This window comes from Homo sapiens, chromosome X, assembly GCF_000001405.40.
Source record: "Homo sapiens chromosome X, GRCh38.p14 Primary Assembly".
In the NCBI taxonomy this organism is placed as follows: Eukaryota; Metazoa; Chordata; class Mammalia; order Primates; family Hominidae; genus Homo; species Homo sapiens.
In genome coordinates, this window is record NC_000023.11 from 54,241,781 (window position 1) to 54,256,035 (window position 14,255).

General features: G+C 36.5%; 1 protein-coding gene across 22 annotated transcripts in view; it reads right to left on the minus strand.

Moving 5' to 3' along the window:
* WNK3 (WNK lysine deficient protein kinase 3) overlaps nt 1-14,255 on the minus strand; it is a 166,078-nt gene that overhangs the window by 48,958 nt on the left and 102,865 nt on the right. For all 22 annotated transcript variants that reach the window (XM_047442382.1, XM_047442379.1, XM_017029744.2 and 19 more), the window contains exons 12-17: nt 13,960-14,107; nt 12,179-12,295; nt 9,752-9,907; nt 9,619-9,670; nt 8,214-8,351; nt 6,917-7,854 (exon numbers count right to left, since the gene is read on the minus strand). In XM_047442382.1, the coding sequence (XP_047298338.1) occupies nt 6,917-7,854; nt 8,214-8,351; nt 9,619-9,670; nt 9,752-9,907; nt 12,179-12,295; nt 13,960-14,107 (1,549 nt within the window). The remainder of the gene's footprint in view (nt 1-6,916; nt 7,855-8,213; nt 8,352-9,618; nt 9,671-9,751; nt 9,908-12,178; nt 12,296-13,959; nt 14,108-14,255) is intronic.

Sequence of the window (14,255 nt, forward strand, 5' to 3'; positions counted from 1 at the left end):
TCATCTCTACCAAAAATATAAAAATTAGCTAGGCGTAGTGGTGAGCGCCTGTAATCCCAGCTACTTGGGAGGCTGAGGCAGGAGAATTGCTTGGACCTGGGAAGTGGAGGTTGCAGTGAGCTGAAATCATCCCATTGCACTCCAACCTGGGCGACAGAGTAAGACTCCATCTCAAAAAAAAAAAAAAAGTTTGTATATAAGAAAAATAAAAATGGGAAATGAAGAAATAAAACTATCTCTATTCACAGTTGACATGCTCTTATATATAGAAAATCCAAAATAATCCACCAAAAGTTATTGGAGCTAATAAACAAACTCAGTAAAGTTGGAGGATACATCAACACATAAAAATCAGTTGTATTTTTATATACTAGCAATGAAGAATCCAAAACAGAAATTAAGAAAACAATTCCATTTCTAATAACAATAAGAAAATACTTAGGAATACATTTAACCAAGGAGTGAAAGTCTTATACACTGAAAACTACAAAACATCAATGAAAGAAATTCAAGGATACTGAAATAAATAGAAAGTTCATGGACAGGAAGACTTAATCTGTCAACAGTCCACAGAGTGACCTACAGATTCAATGCAATCCCTATCAAAACCCCAATGGCCTTTTTCACAGGAATAGAAAAGCTTATACTAAAATTCATATGGAATCACAGGGGACTCTGAATAGCCAAAAAATATTTAAAAAGAACAAAGTTGGAGGACTCACATTTCCTGATTTCCAAATGTACTATAAAACTACAGTAATCAAAACACTGTCATTTTGCTACTGGCATAAGGATAGATATTGGGAGTGATGAATTGAATTAGTCCAGAAATAAATCCATACATCTATATAGTCAGCTGATTTTTTACAAGAATGCCAAGACCATTAAATGGGGGAAAGAATAGTTTCTTCACCAAATGGTGCTGAACAACTGGATATCCAAATGCAAAAGAACGAAGCTGGACCCTTGTCTCATACATATACAAAAATTAACTCAACATATATCAAAGACGTAATTATAAGAGCTAACAAAGCAATACAAGGAAAAGTGGATAATCAGACTTCAACAAAATTAAGAACTTTTGTGCGTTAAAGGATACCATCAAGACAGTGAAAAGACAAACCTACAGAATGGGAGAAAATATTCACAAATAAAATATCTAATAAAGACTTAGCATCCAGAATATACAAAGATTTTTTTTATTTTATTTTATAGAGATGGGGGGTCTCACTATGTTGACCAGGCTGGTCTTGAACTCCTGGCCTCAAGCGATCTTACTGCCTTGGCTTCCCTAAATCCTGGGATTACAGGCTTGAGCCACCATGCCCAGCCACACATATAAAGAATTCTTACGGCCGGGCACGGTGGCTCACGCCTGTAATTCCAGCACTCTGGGAGGCCGAGGCGGGCGGATCACGAGGTCAGGAGATCGAGACCATCCTGGCTAACACGTTGAAACCCCTGTCTCTACTAAAAATACAAAAAAAAAAATTAGCCGGGCGCAGTGGTGGGCACCTGTAGTCCTAGCTACTCGGGAGGCTGAGGCAGGAGAATGGCGTGAACCCGGGAGGCGGAGCTTGCAGTGAGCCAAGATAGCGCCACTACAGTCCGGCCTGGGCGAAAGTGCGAGACTCCGTCTCAAAAAAAAAAAAAAAAAAAAAAAAGAATTCTTACAACTCAACAACACAAACAACAACCCAATTAAAAAATAGGCAAAGGACTCGAACAGACATTTCTTCAAAGAAGATATACAGATGGCCAACAAGCACACGAAAAGATTCTCAACACCACTAGCCATTAAGCAAATGCAAATCAAGACCACAATAAGATACCACTTTATACTTACCAGGATGGCTATGATCAAAAAATTGGAAAACAAGTGTTGGTAAGTATGTGGACAAATCGGAACCCTCACATTGTGCTGGTGGGAATGTAAAATGGTGTGGCTGCTTTAGAAAAGAGTTTGGTGGTTCTTCAAAAAGTTAAACGTAGAATTACCATATGCCCCAGATAATTGAAAACAGGAACTCATATGAATACTTTATATGAATGTTCGTAGCAGCACTATTCACAACAGCCAAAAGGTAGAAACAACCTAAATGTCCACAAACCAATGAATGGATAAACAAAATGCAGTATAGCCATAAAATGGAATATGAACCTTGAAACATTATGCTAAGTGAAAGAAACCAGACACAAAGGCCATAAACTGTATGGTTCCATTTATATGAAATATCTAGCATAAGCAAATCTATACTGACAGAAAGCAGATTTGTGGTTGCAAGGGGCAAGGGGGAAGGGAGAATGAATAATGACTGCTTAATGGGTATGAAGTTTCTTTTTTTGGGGTGATGAAAAAGTTCTGGAACTAGATAATGGTGATGGATACACAACCTTGTGAACAAATTTAATGTCACTGGATCGAACACTGTAAAAGAGTTAAAATTCTAAGAAATCACAAGACAAGTTTCCATATTTATAGAGCACAAAGAATATGAAATAAGATGAATAAACAATAAAGAGAATATACCAAAGGCATCCAGTAGCCCTTTAAGTAGGTACTATTATCTCGATTTTACAGATGAGGAAATTAAGGCTGGGTAAAGGGTGTAGATAATTTGCCTAGTATTACATAGTAAATGGCAAAGCAAGATTTTGAAACTGGTTTGTGGGGTTCAAAAGCTGTTTTCTTTCTAACACTGTTTCAATAAGAATGTTTTCATTTAAAAAATATTACAAGTATTACATTGTGAAAGGAAAACAAAAACTCAGGACCCTAATTCACTATGCCAAAAAGAAAAAAATTAAGCTGAAAGCTGAGTCATGCAAGAAACTGCATTTCATTTTGTTCCTAAGCAAACAGCTACAAATAAAAGGTTAAATATCTCCAGAGGTAGCTACCCTATGTTCACCTTATCTTATGTAAAGTGCTGATTTACTGAGCAAAATTGGGAGATGAATACATAATTGATTATTCTCCTACCTGCTCCTTTTCTCTTGCAACATGTGGATTACCATAACCTCCCTCTTTCCCCTCCAGCTTGCTTTTCTCCTTTAAATACTGAAGCCCTCAAAATCATCTTTGGAGAAAGGCACAGACCACAGACTGTATCTGTGATTCCATGTTTCCTTTCTTCTAGGCATGTCCCTAACCTTGGCAAAATAAAATTCTAAATTGATTGAGATCTGCCTTAGATATTTTTTGGCTTATAACATGAATAACTGTTTTCTGTAAAAGATCTAAACCATTAGATAAAACAAAAATCCCTGTAACAACCCTCCTTCCCAGTCTCCCCTGGAAGATATCCACTAATATCAATTTATCTTTTCAGAACTTTTTTGTGCATTTATGTACATATATATGCGTGTGTGTGTGTGTGTGTGTGTGTGTGTGTGTGTGTGTGTGTTCCTTTTTAAAAATACAGGCCAGGTGTGGTGGCTCATGCCTGTAATCCCACTGCTTTGGGAGACCAAGGCAGGAGCATTGCTTGAGGCCAGGAGTTCAAAACCAGCCTGGGCAACACTGCAAGCCCATGTCTCTACAAAAAGTTTAAAAATCAGCCAAGCATGGTAGCACGCACTTGTAGTCCCAGCTACTTGGGAGGCTGAGGCAAGGGGATCACCTAAACTCAGGAGGTTGAGGTTACAGTGAGCCACGATCATGCCACTGCACTCCAGCCTGGGTAATGGAGTGAGACCCTGTCTCAAAAACACACACACACATACACATACATACATATACACACACACACACATACACACACCTCATCATACTGTCTGAATTATTCTGCATATATTTTTCCTGATGATTTTTCCTGGAGATATGTCCATGCTAAAATAAAGATGATAATAGCTAACATATATTTATAGGTCTACTTCATGCTTTTAAATTGCTTCATAGTATCAGTGTCCCTCAATTTCTATTTACAAATATTTAAACTTGTTTGTGAATCCTTTCCTGTTACCAATAATCAAACAATGTTACACTGAACATTCTTATACATGTTCCTTTGTTCATATGTGCAAATACTTCTCTCAGGTAGAATTTGACAGTGACATAGCTCAGTCACAGGAATGTACACATTTCTAACTTTCATAGTGTTAAATTGCCCTCCAAGTAGGCTGTACTGATTTTATTCCTACCAACATAAAATGAAAATTACTGCGCCCAGCCATCAATTTCTTTAATATTTGCTAGTCTGATTAGCAAAAAACTATTTTTCCATAAAATTTTGCCTTTCTCTCATTACTAAGAAAGTTGAAAATCTTTTCACATGTTTAGCAGGCATTTATATTTCCACTTCTGTGAAATGCACGTTCAGATGCTTTGGATATTCTTCCACTGAGTTGTCTGATCTTTTCTCAATGATTTGTAAGCATTCTTTATATATTTTAGAGTTAATATTTTGTCAGTTTTCTGAGAAAAAAGCTTGGAACAAAAATATATGCAAAAATAGGTTGCTATGAAAATGGAGCCAAGAATAAGAAAGATTTAAAAAATCAAATTCATGACTGCCAAATGAAAAATTAACTGGATACAGCTGAATACCAAGAGAGTGATCTGAAATTTAAAAAGAAAAAAAAAACTGAAGACATATCTGAGAACATAAGGTTTTAAAAAATGAAATTAAAAGTGAGAGCAAGCTGTTAAGAAACATGGGGAATAATCCAAGAGGCCATATATCTCCTACAATTTCTAAATGGAAATAAGCAAGACAATGAAGGGGAAGAAAAAAAAGAAATGAAAATAGTTACCGGAGCTGAAAAAAGACACAAATCTTCAAATTCGAAACATCCACAAAAGTGATATACAAAATGAATGGGAAAGTGATATACCAAGATACAGTCTGATAATCAGAGCTCTAAGATAGTTCCCTAAGAGCAACTAGACCTGTGCTAACTGAATACAGTAGCCACTAATCACATGTGGCTGTCTAAATTTAAATTAATTAAATTAAATTAAAAATTCAGGCCCTCAGTTGCACTAGTCACATTTCAAGTGCTCAATAGTCATATCTGGTTAGTGGTTACTGTATTGGATAGTGCAGATACAGAACATTTCCACGTTGTAAAAAGTACAAGAGCATTGCAGTGGTCTAGAGTAAAAACAGGTTACCTACAAATGAATGATAAACAACTGACATCACTCTCATCAGGAAGGCTAATAAAAGACAATAAAACACTGTCTTCTAAATTGAGAAGAAAAAATTCTGATCCTACCATCTGTACTTAGTCAATCAAGTGTGAAGCAATATAAAGACATTTTTGGACATGCAAAAGAATACCAAATAGGATACTCATGCAATATATTTGAAAATATTACTCATAGAAGTATTTTAGGGGAAAAAAGAAGAATTCCATGACACCAGAAACAGTGGCAGCTAAGTATGATCCAGATATAGCAACAGACACTTGAAACAAATAAATGAATTCATTTGACCTTGACACTTGGGAGAGTCTCCTTCAAGCAACAAAGTTTAAATGACAGAAATAACAGTTCATTTCTTAAGATTCGAATCACATTATGTGATATTTATTATTTAAAATAATTTAAAAAATTTTTAAATCTTTAAATTATATGTATCAGTGGAATATTATGCAGTTGTTTCAAAAAGTTGAGTAAGATGGAACTATGTGTACTGACATGGATAGATACCCATAAATGAAAAAAATGCAGAATAGCATATATGTAAATAAGTATATGTATATAAATATTAACATGTATCTATATCTATATAAAGATACAATATATCATATATAAAAAGTATGTCTTTATAAATATTTGTATATTAATTAAAATCATGTCTGGAAAGATTTGTTAACAGCTGTGTCTACAGGTTTGGGGATGGGGTGGATTTTACTTGTACGTAGTACATATATACTATGTACAAGTATATATTATTACTTATATAATAACAAAAATGACAAAAAGATACAGCAATAAAGATTTAGAAAGATGTCCATGATCTACTGTAAAATGAAAAAATTAAGTTGCAGAACAGTATGTATACAGCACAGTATTTTTATGAATATAATGTTATATGTATGTAAATAGATCTGTATAAGCTTAAGAAAAGTCAAGAAGAATAAGCATCAAATTATTAGTGGTTACTTTTGTGATTTGAAGGGGCAGAAAAGGAAAATTAAAGTTCCTACATTATATAACTCATAAAATAAGTCAGGCCAGGCACAGTGGCTCATGCCTGTAATCCCAGCACTTTGGAGGCCAAGGCAGGTGGATCACGAGGTCAAGAGTTCGAGACCAGCCTGGCCAACATGGTAAAACCCCGTCTCTACTAATACAACAATTAGCCGGGCGTGGTGGCACGTGCCTGTAATCCCAGCTACTCAGGAGGCTGAGGCAGGAGAATTACTTGAACCCGGGAGGCAGACCGAGATCATGCCACTGCACTCCAGCCTGGGCGACAGAGCAAGACTCCGTCTAGGGTTTAAAAAAAAAAAAAAGTCATGGTATTAATGATGATTTTTACTTTCTTTTCTTCTCTTTTTTTGTCAAATTAAATCCCCCCAAACATGATTAAATTAAAAACCATAACTTTTTTTTTTAAAGAAGGAAACGGATAACTGGCATTTTAAGTGAAAATCTAAAAGTTCTTCCTACCCACTAAAACAATCCATGAGTCAGTTTTCATTCTGTCATTAATACAAATATAGACACTGCTTGCAAGTTCTTAGCTAATTCACCAGAGGGCTCTCTTACCAAAGATAGTTTGTCATCTCTACTGAGAGGTTCTGAACACCTGCAGCCTAAGTCATAGCCTTCTTAAATACCTGTGACCTCAGCATCTTGTGACATAGACCATTTCATCTCAAAGGACAGAATTTTAGAAGAGAAGGCATTTCTTTAAAACAATAAGCAAAGAGTAAGGAATTGGTTAGAAAGAATGATACTTACATGTAAACACAATTCGCTGGGTACAGAAGTTATCACATTCAGGTCCCTTTTGAACACTGATATATTAGCAGGCTGACTTGCAGCCACATTGGACAGAAGCTTAGAGCCTGTCTGTTGGAAATTAGGGGATTGTACAGGGCTATCTTTAATTCCACAGTGACTGATGGCTATGACTTCTGTCACTGGACAGGAGAGGGTATCTTCAGCAGAGGAAGAAAATGGAGAGTCTATGCTTTGGGTATCCTTCTGACTCTCGGGATAGATGCTAGAGATGCTGTGCTCCTGATAGAGCAAGTTTCTTAATTTTTCATCCAGAGTTTTAATTCGGTTGTCTGCAAACTCCAGTTTTGGAGGTCTTTCTCCATCTGATTCCAGGACAGTAGTGGGTTGAAGGGTAGTTGGTTCAAGGCCAGGGGTCTGAGTGGGAATGACTGTCTTAGGAGAACTTGCTTCAGTGTTCACTGTAGTTTCTCCTTCTTGAGAAATAAACTCTGCATCCATAGCTGGCTGCTGTACTGATAAGGTTTGAGGCTTTTGATCAAATGCCAGAGTTGTAAGAGAGTTACCAGAAGTCTGAGTTGATTCGCCAGGATGGGACATAAGTGCATCAGCCTGACTGGCAGTTTGGTGACATGGATACACAGGTATGAATATGCTTGCTTGTTTGGTGAGTCCCTCACATTCAGCTGGAACTGCACGAACTGAAGTAGTAGAGTAACTGGAACTATTAGTAACTGGTGCCATTATCTGCCTGTTATCTTCCACTTGATAAAGTATAGCTGGCTGCTTGGTTTCTACACTAGCACATTCAGAAATCTTACCATCAACCACATCCTTGTGTTCTGATTTGGAGGTGAAAAGTGCACGGTGGCATGGATTATTTTCTATAGTGAGCAATGTGTCCCGTGATATTTCCTTATTACTTGTGTTTTTTGGACCTGGAACAATAATAAAGAATGGCTAAGCACGTACTGACGAGTACAAAGCACAGACTAGTACCCTAAGTCAAAAGGAACAGGAGGACAAAGGGGCAAATGAGAACCTGTGTGAAAGTACTCTCGTAAATAAGACTCAAAACACAGAATTCAACCTGTCAAGGGAAATAATGTTTTCCTTTTTTCTCATAAATATTAAATAGGAAATGGCTTAAGTTGTATCCTAATATTAATGTCTTCAAAAAAGCTTATGAAAATTCTCATAAGCATAAAATTCCCATGGAAACCAGTTAAAGATATCATATGTATTTTGCATCCCATCCTTTGAGTCTGGACAAAGCTGGCAGAGAAGAAAAGCTTACTAGGAAGTGGATGTCGGCCAGGAACCGCAGACATGGAATGCTGAAGAGAAGGAGGAGACTGAGTCTCACGGTTTCTTATCGTCTGATTGATACAGAATCGCCACCGACCAACTGGGGATGACTGAGGAGCAGATTCATCTGCAGAAATAATTAGCAAAAAATAATATGCTAAGCTATTTTCAATTTATTTACCTTATTGACTGAAGAAGCCAGGTTAAATAAACAATTTGTCTTATATCTCCATTTCTAATAGTACTAGAATATATGTAATTGATAAGACCAGCCCTTTTAATACTGACAAAAAGTCTAAAGTACTAAGCACACAATATCTTTAGAGAAGGATTTTAGATTCTACTGAAACAAATATTGCTTGAATAGCAATTAGAAACAGGGTACTCTTTGAAAAAACTGACAGCACTTTTCTCATTAAAACCTATATCTCTTATTCTGTATCCTGATTATGATAGTGCTTATATAAATCTATACATGTATTAAAATTTACAGAAGTGTACACCAAAAGAAAATCAGTTTTACTGTATGACATTTTTTAAAATAAAGTAAAATAAACCCCTACATCTTAACTGCTACTTTGTAAATGTACTCAAATAAGTAATTCTCTTTTAAACTCTACCCAACTTTGTTAGTCAGAAACCTACTCATATCTTGGCTAACCAGAAAAATAAGATATAGGAAGGACTGCATCCTAACACAGTCAAACTAAATTTCAGGATAATGGTATCTGGTTCTATTACTCCCACACCACCTTTTGCTTCTTTACGTTCCTGTAATTTCTTCAGGGGTGCTCATTTGTCTATGGCTCTTATCCCCCTCCCAGACACTCTTTAATATACCCATGACCAGAACTGAGAAGAATGGAAAGATAAAGTCATCAGAAAAGAAAACAGGAGACCCTAGTTTTCGCTTCTGGAAGTTTATCTGGTATCTGATTTACTAAAAGTTATCAGTGACCAGCGCAAGTAGAAGCATATCATTCATCGTTAGTAGAATAAAATCAAGATACGAATGACTATTGAAATATGAGGCAAACTTAGAAAATGATGACTTTTGTTAAAAAGTTTCTATCCATCTCAAATCAGAAAAAAATAACTTACCAGTTAAGTTTCAAACAGTTATGCCATTTAAGGTCATCAGTACTGTGACTGCTTTTCTGGTAACATGACCACCCAATAACTCAAAAATAAATCAATCAGATAAAGAACCAACACTTGGGGAAAAGTCAGGGGATGGATTATTACCTTTGGGCCTTTCAAAGTGTGAGAAAACCTACACTAATAAGTTACCAAATTAATTTATTGGCTAACATCTTTCCCAATGAAGGTGTGTTAAAAGTTTTCAAATGTCTTGCTTCAAAAACCAAATGATAAATTTTACTAAATATACTTACTGCTGGTTTGAGTAGATGTAGAATTTATCTGTACTTGTTCAGATGACCCTGTCTGAATTAAAAATGAATAGATAAATTAAAAAGTTCCTGATTCATATCTGAGAAGATCTGTTTGCTAAACAATTGTTCTCACCTGGCTACTGTTGGAGTCCACAGTAATAGAATCAACTCCAGTGGCTCTTTCTGTGGCAAAGTGGACATGAAGGATCTCCTGGGCTTGACCTACAATAGCTCTCAATTCTTCTACAAATTTTTCTTTCTCACTTTCCAGCACAAAGTTATCTTCAACCTGCCCAAAAGTAAGTCTATTCATGAGAATGAATTCAGTTTCTTCAAAGTTATAATATTATATAAATAGTGACTATCACATAAAGAAAGAAAATTGGGCCAGGCACAGTGGCTCATGCCTGTAATCCCAGCACTTTGGGAGGCTGAGGTGGGTGGATCACCTGAGGTCAGGAATTTGAGACCAGCCTGACCAACATGGTGAAACCCTGTCTCTACTAAAAATACAAAATTAACTGGGTATGATGGCGGGTGCCTGTAATCCCAGCTACTTGGGAGGCTGAGGCAGGAGAATTGCTTGAGCCCAGGAGGCGGAGGTTATGGTGAGCTGAGATTGCACCATTGCACTACAGCCTGGGCAACAAGAGCAAAACTCTGTCTCAAAAAAAAAAAAAAAAAGAAAAGAAAAGAAAAAGAAAAAGAAGAATAAAATTAAAATTAAGTATCTAAATCCAAGTGTCACAATAGAATTCACAAAGACCAGCAATAAAATGCCAAAAAATACATTAAATTATTCTGAGACTACTGACATTTCTCAGATTGGCACTACCTACCAGAGAAGGAACCAGCATTTTAAAAAATATGTCATTCTATAAATTGGTTATTTGAAGAACATAACTGAGGCAATGTTTAAAACTAAGATGTCCAAACCCAAAAGCTTTTAAATCACAAACCACAAAATGAAACATCTCCAAAGAAAATAAAGAATAGCTCGGAAGGCTGGGCACGGTAGCCCAGCACTTTGGGAGGCTGAAGTGGGTGAATCACCTGAGGTCAGGAGTTCGAGACCAGCCTGGTCAACATGGCGAAATGCCATCTCTGTTAAAAATACAAAAATTAGCTGGGTGTGGTGGCGTGCGCCTGTAATCCCAGCTACTTGGGAGGCTGAGACAGGATAATCACTTGATCCCAGGAGGCGGAGGTTGCAGTGAGCCAAGATCACACCACTGCCCTCCAGCCTGGGCAATAGAGCGAGACTCTGTCTCAAAAAAAAAAAAAAAAAATAGCTCGGAAGACCACTAATTAGGTTAAACATTCCTGAAAAGAATGAAAGAAGAGACAGTTCAGAAAATATTACGTTAAACAAGAACAGAACTGATGATGAAATAATTAACTTTTAAAATGTTTAATTCTGCTTGGCTAGAAATGCATACACAAAGAAAGCTGGCAGAAACAAAAAGCATTATATGCACTCTTCCTGCCATCCTAGTCCCATCCCCATCAAAAAAGGGGAAGATGGAAAAGTAACCTAGAAAATAATAAAAAAAAATAATAAAATAAGGGGGGAAGAAATACTAACTTAAACCTAACAATTCAAAGAAAATATTAAAAACTAAATGAAACAATAACATGCAAGATGTTAGATCAGTGACTAACACATTAGAATTACAAGGGGAGGGATACCCCATTTACCTTTACATCATTCTTACACATTGTATACCTACATCGAAATATCTCATGTACCTCATAAATATATAAACTTTCTATGTAGCCACAAAAATTAAAAAAAAAAAAACAGAAAGAAAAAGAATTACCTGGGGCTTTAGCTTTTTCAAAGCCTGTTATAAAAAATAAAAATAATAAAAGGTAACTTTTTTTTGAGACAGGGTCTTGCTCTGCTGCCCAGGCTGGAATGCAGTGGCATGATCATAGCTCACTACAGCCTCAATCTCCTGGGCTCAAGCAATCCTCCTCCCTCAGCCTCCCAAAGTGCTGGGATTACAAGTGTGGCCACCACATCTGGCATTTTTTAATTTTTTGTGAAGACAAGGTCTCACTCACTACATTGCCTAGGCTGGTCTTGAACTCCTGGGCTCAAGTGATCCTCCTGCCTAGGCCTCCCAAAGTGCGGGGATTACAGGCATGAGCCACTGTGCCCAGCAAAAAATAAACTAAAAAAAAAAGAATTACCTGGGGAGCTTTACAAACTATTGATGCTTGGGCCTCACCTCCAAATATTCTGATTTAATCAAGGGACCAGGCAATACAATTGTTTTTAAAAAGCTTGTCAGGTGATTTTCACATGCAATCAGAGATAAGAGCCATTTAGCTATATTATCTCTAAATGAAACCTCTGCATATTTTCCAGTTAAATATACTGAAACCGGAGGAGATGCAGTGACTTACACTTGATGATAACCCAATTTACCTCTGTACAAAATTTTAAAACTAATCGTACTCTAAAAAACAATGGCTCAAAATAAATGGAGACAGAATTATAGGGGAAAAAAGACAGAATGCTGAAGGGAAGATAATTTGGTCTTACTGCACTTACCATATAGTCTGCAATATCCTCTGGCGCATCACCATCAACATCAAACTTGAAGGTGACCATCTTGTTGTTGTGTGTCTCCAGCTGACACTCTACCATGTTATCTCCAGAGGTTGATACCTGAGTACAAACATTTTACCGGTTTAAGAGTCAATCACTGTCTTCTTTTTGCAAATTGTGCAAGGAACATCTACACTAGTTCACGTACAATATATGTGGAAAATGGCTTAAATAGTTCAGAATGTTTTCCCTTGGTGGAATACCATCTAAACAGCCATTCTATGACTAAACTAACAGGTTCAAGTTACTCAGTAAAAAATAAGTTATAAATGTGATCCTGTGGTAAAGAAAACAATACAACTTTTATAAGAAAGCAAAAAAAGTTATAATAGTCACTAGAGCTATCTGCAATGCAAAGATTTAAATTTAATAATTCATTTCCAAAATTATCTTAATCTATAAATTGACTCTAAGCAAAAGAAGAGGCACTGCAAATGGAAATGTAACCTGGACCAATCTTTATGGACAGCAATCTAGCAACATGTATCTAGAAACTTTAAAAATCTTCATATTCTGATCCATGAATCCGTCTCCTATGGATCTAATAAGGAAATAATCAGGGATAGATACAAAGATTTATGTTCAAGGATTTTGCTGCAAAGATATACAGACAGACAAAAAGAGTAAAAGACAGCAAGTTAGAAAAAAGACAGACTGGGAAAAAGATGGAAAGAAAGAACATAAACCAAGAACATAGGGAATGTAAGTTATTTCTCTGTATAAGCAGCTATCTAATGTAGCCATTTAAAATGTCATGTTATTGAAAAATTAATGATACAGGAAGGCATACATGATATATTAGGTTTTTAAAAATGCAGGATATAAAATTATATATAGGTTTAAGCAGCCAACTAAAACATACATTATATTGGTTAGAGATACGGGCTTTAAAGTCCGATCTAGGTTCAGATCTGACATTATCACTTGCTAGTTGAGTGATCTTAGGCAACTTACTTCGCTCCTCTGATTTCATTTTTTTTTCAGATGGAGTTTTGTTCTTGTTGCCCAGGTTGGAGTGCAATGGTGTGATCTCAGTTCACCGCAACCTCCGCCTCCTGGGTTCAAGCGATTCTCCTGTCTCAGCCTCCCGAGTAGTTGGGATTACAGGCATGCACCACCATGCCTGGCTAATTTTTGTATTTTTAATAGAGACGGGGTTTTATCATATTGGTCAGGCTGGTCTCGAACTCCTGACCTCAGATGATCCACCTGCCTCGGCCTTCCAAAGTGTTGGGATTACAGGCGTGAGCCACTGCGCCCGGCTCACTCCTCTGATCTTTAGTATCTTCATTTGTAAAGATGAGTATATACTATGACCTATCATACAGGGTTATTGAAGGATTAAATGGTAAAATGCATGGATAACATTTAGGGTGCCTACCACAAAAGAACTCAATAGATTTTTGCTGCGATTACTAGTACTATTACAACCTCAATAATGTAAAACACTACATGTACATACAGGAAAAGGAGAGAAAAACAAACTAAAACATTAATAGGAGCTATCTCTGAATGGTGGTTAAAAGTAGATTTTATTTTCTTTCTTATATTTCCTAAGTTTAACAACGAACACATAATACTCACATTGGAAAGTCTGTAACGGAGAAAAGGTTAGTTTAGAGAGGGTCTCGCAATATTCTACAACTCACTTCTGCAGCACTGCCCCTCTCTGACCCTCCAGACCTCTATATGTACTCTTAACCAAACCATATTTACAAACTGACCTGAAGGACGGTAAGCTGAAATTTAGTCCCCTTCTCTGGTCGGGGACAGGAAGCTCTTCTCTGTTTGATCCGATCCTGTTTGCCATTTCCACTTGGGTTATCAGGGCTACTGACGTTTTCCTTCGTAGTTGCCACATCTTGATTCAAGCTAGTAATATTTTTAAAAAAGTAACTCATTCCAGTCTTGACAGTAAAATTCTAAGAAAAACTCCCAATTATAAAACTATAAATAATGAATTTAAGAAAAATTAATACTACAATCTTTTTAAAAGTTATGACTGCACAACTCTGTGAAT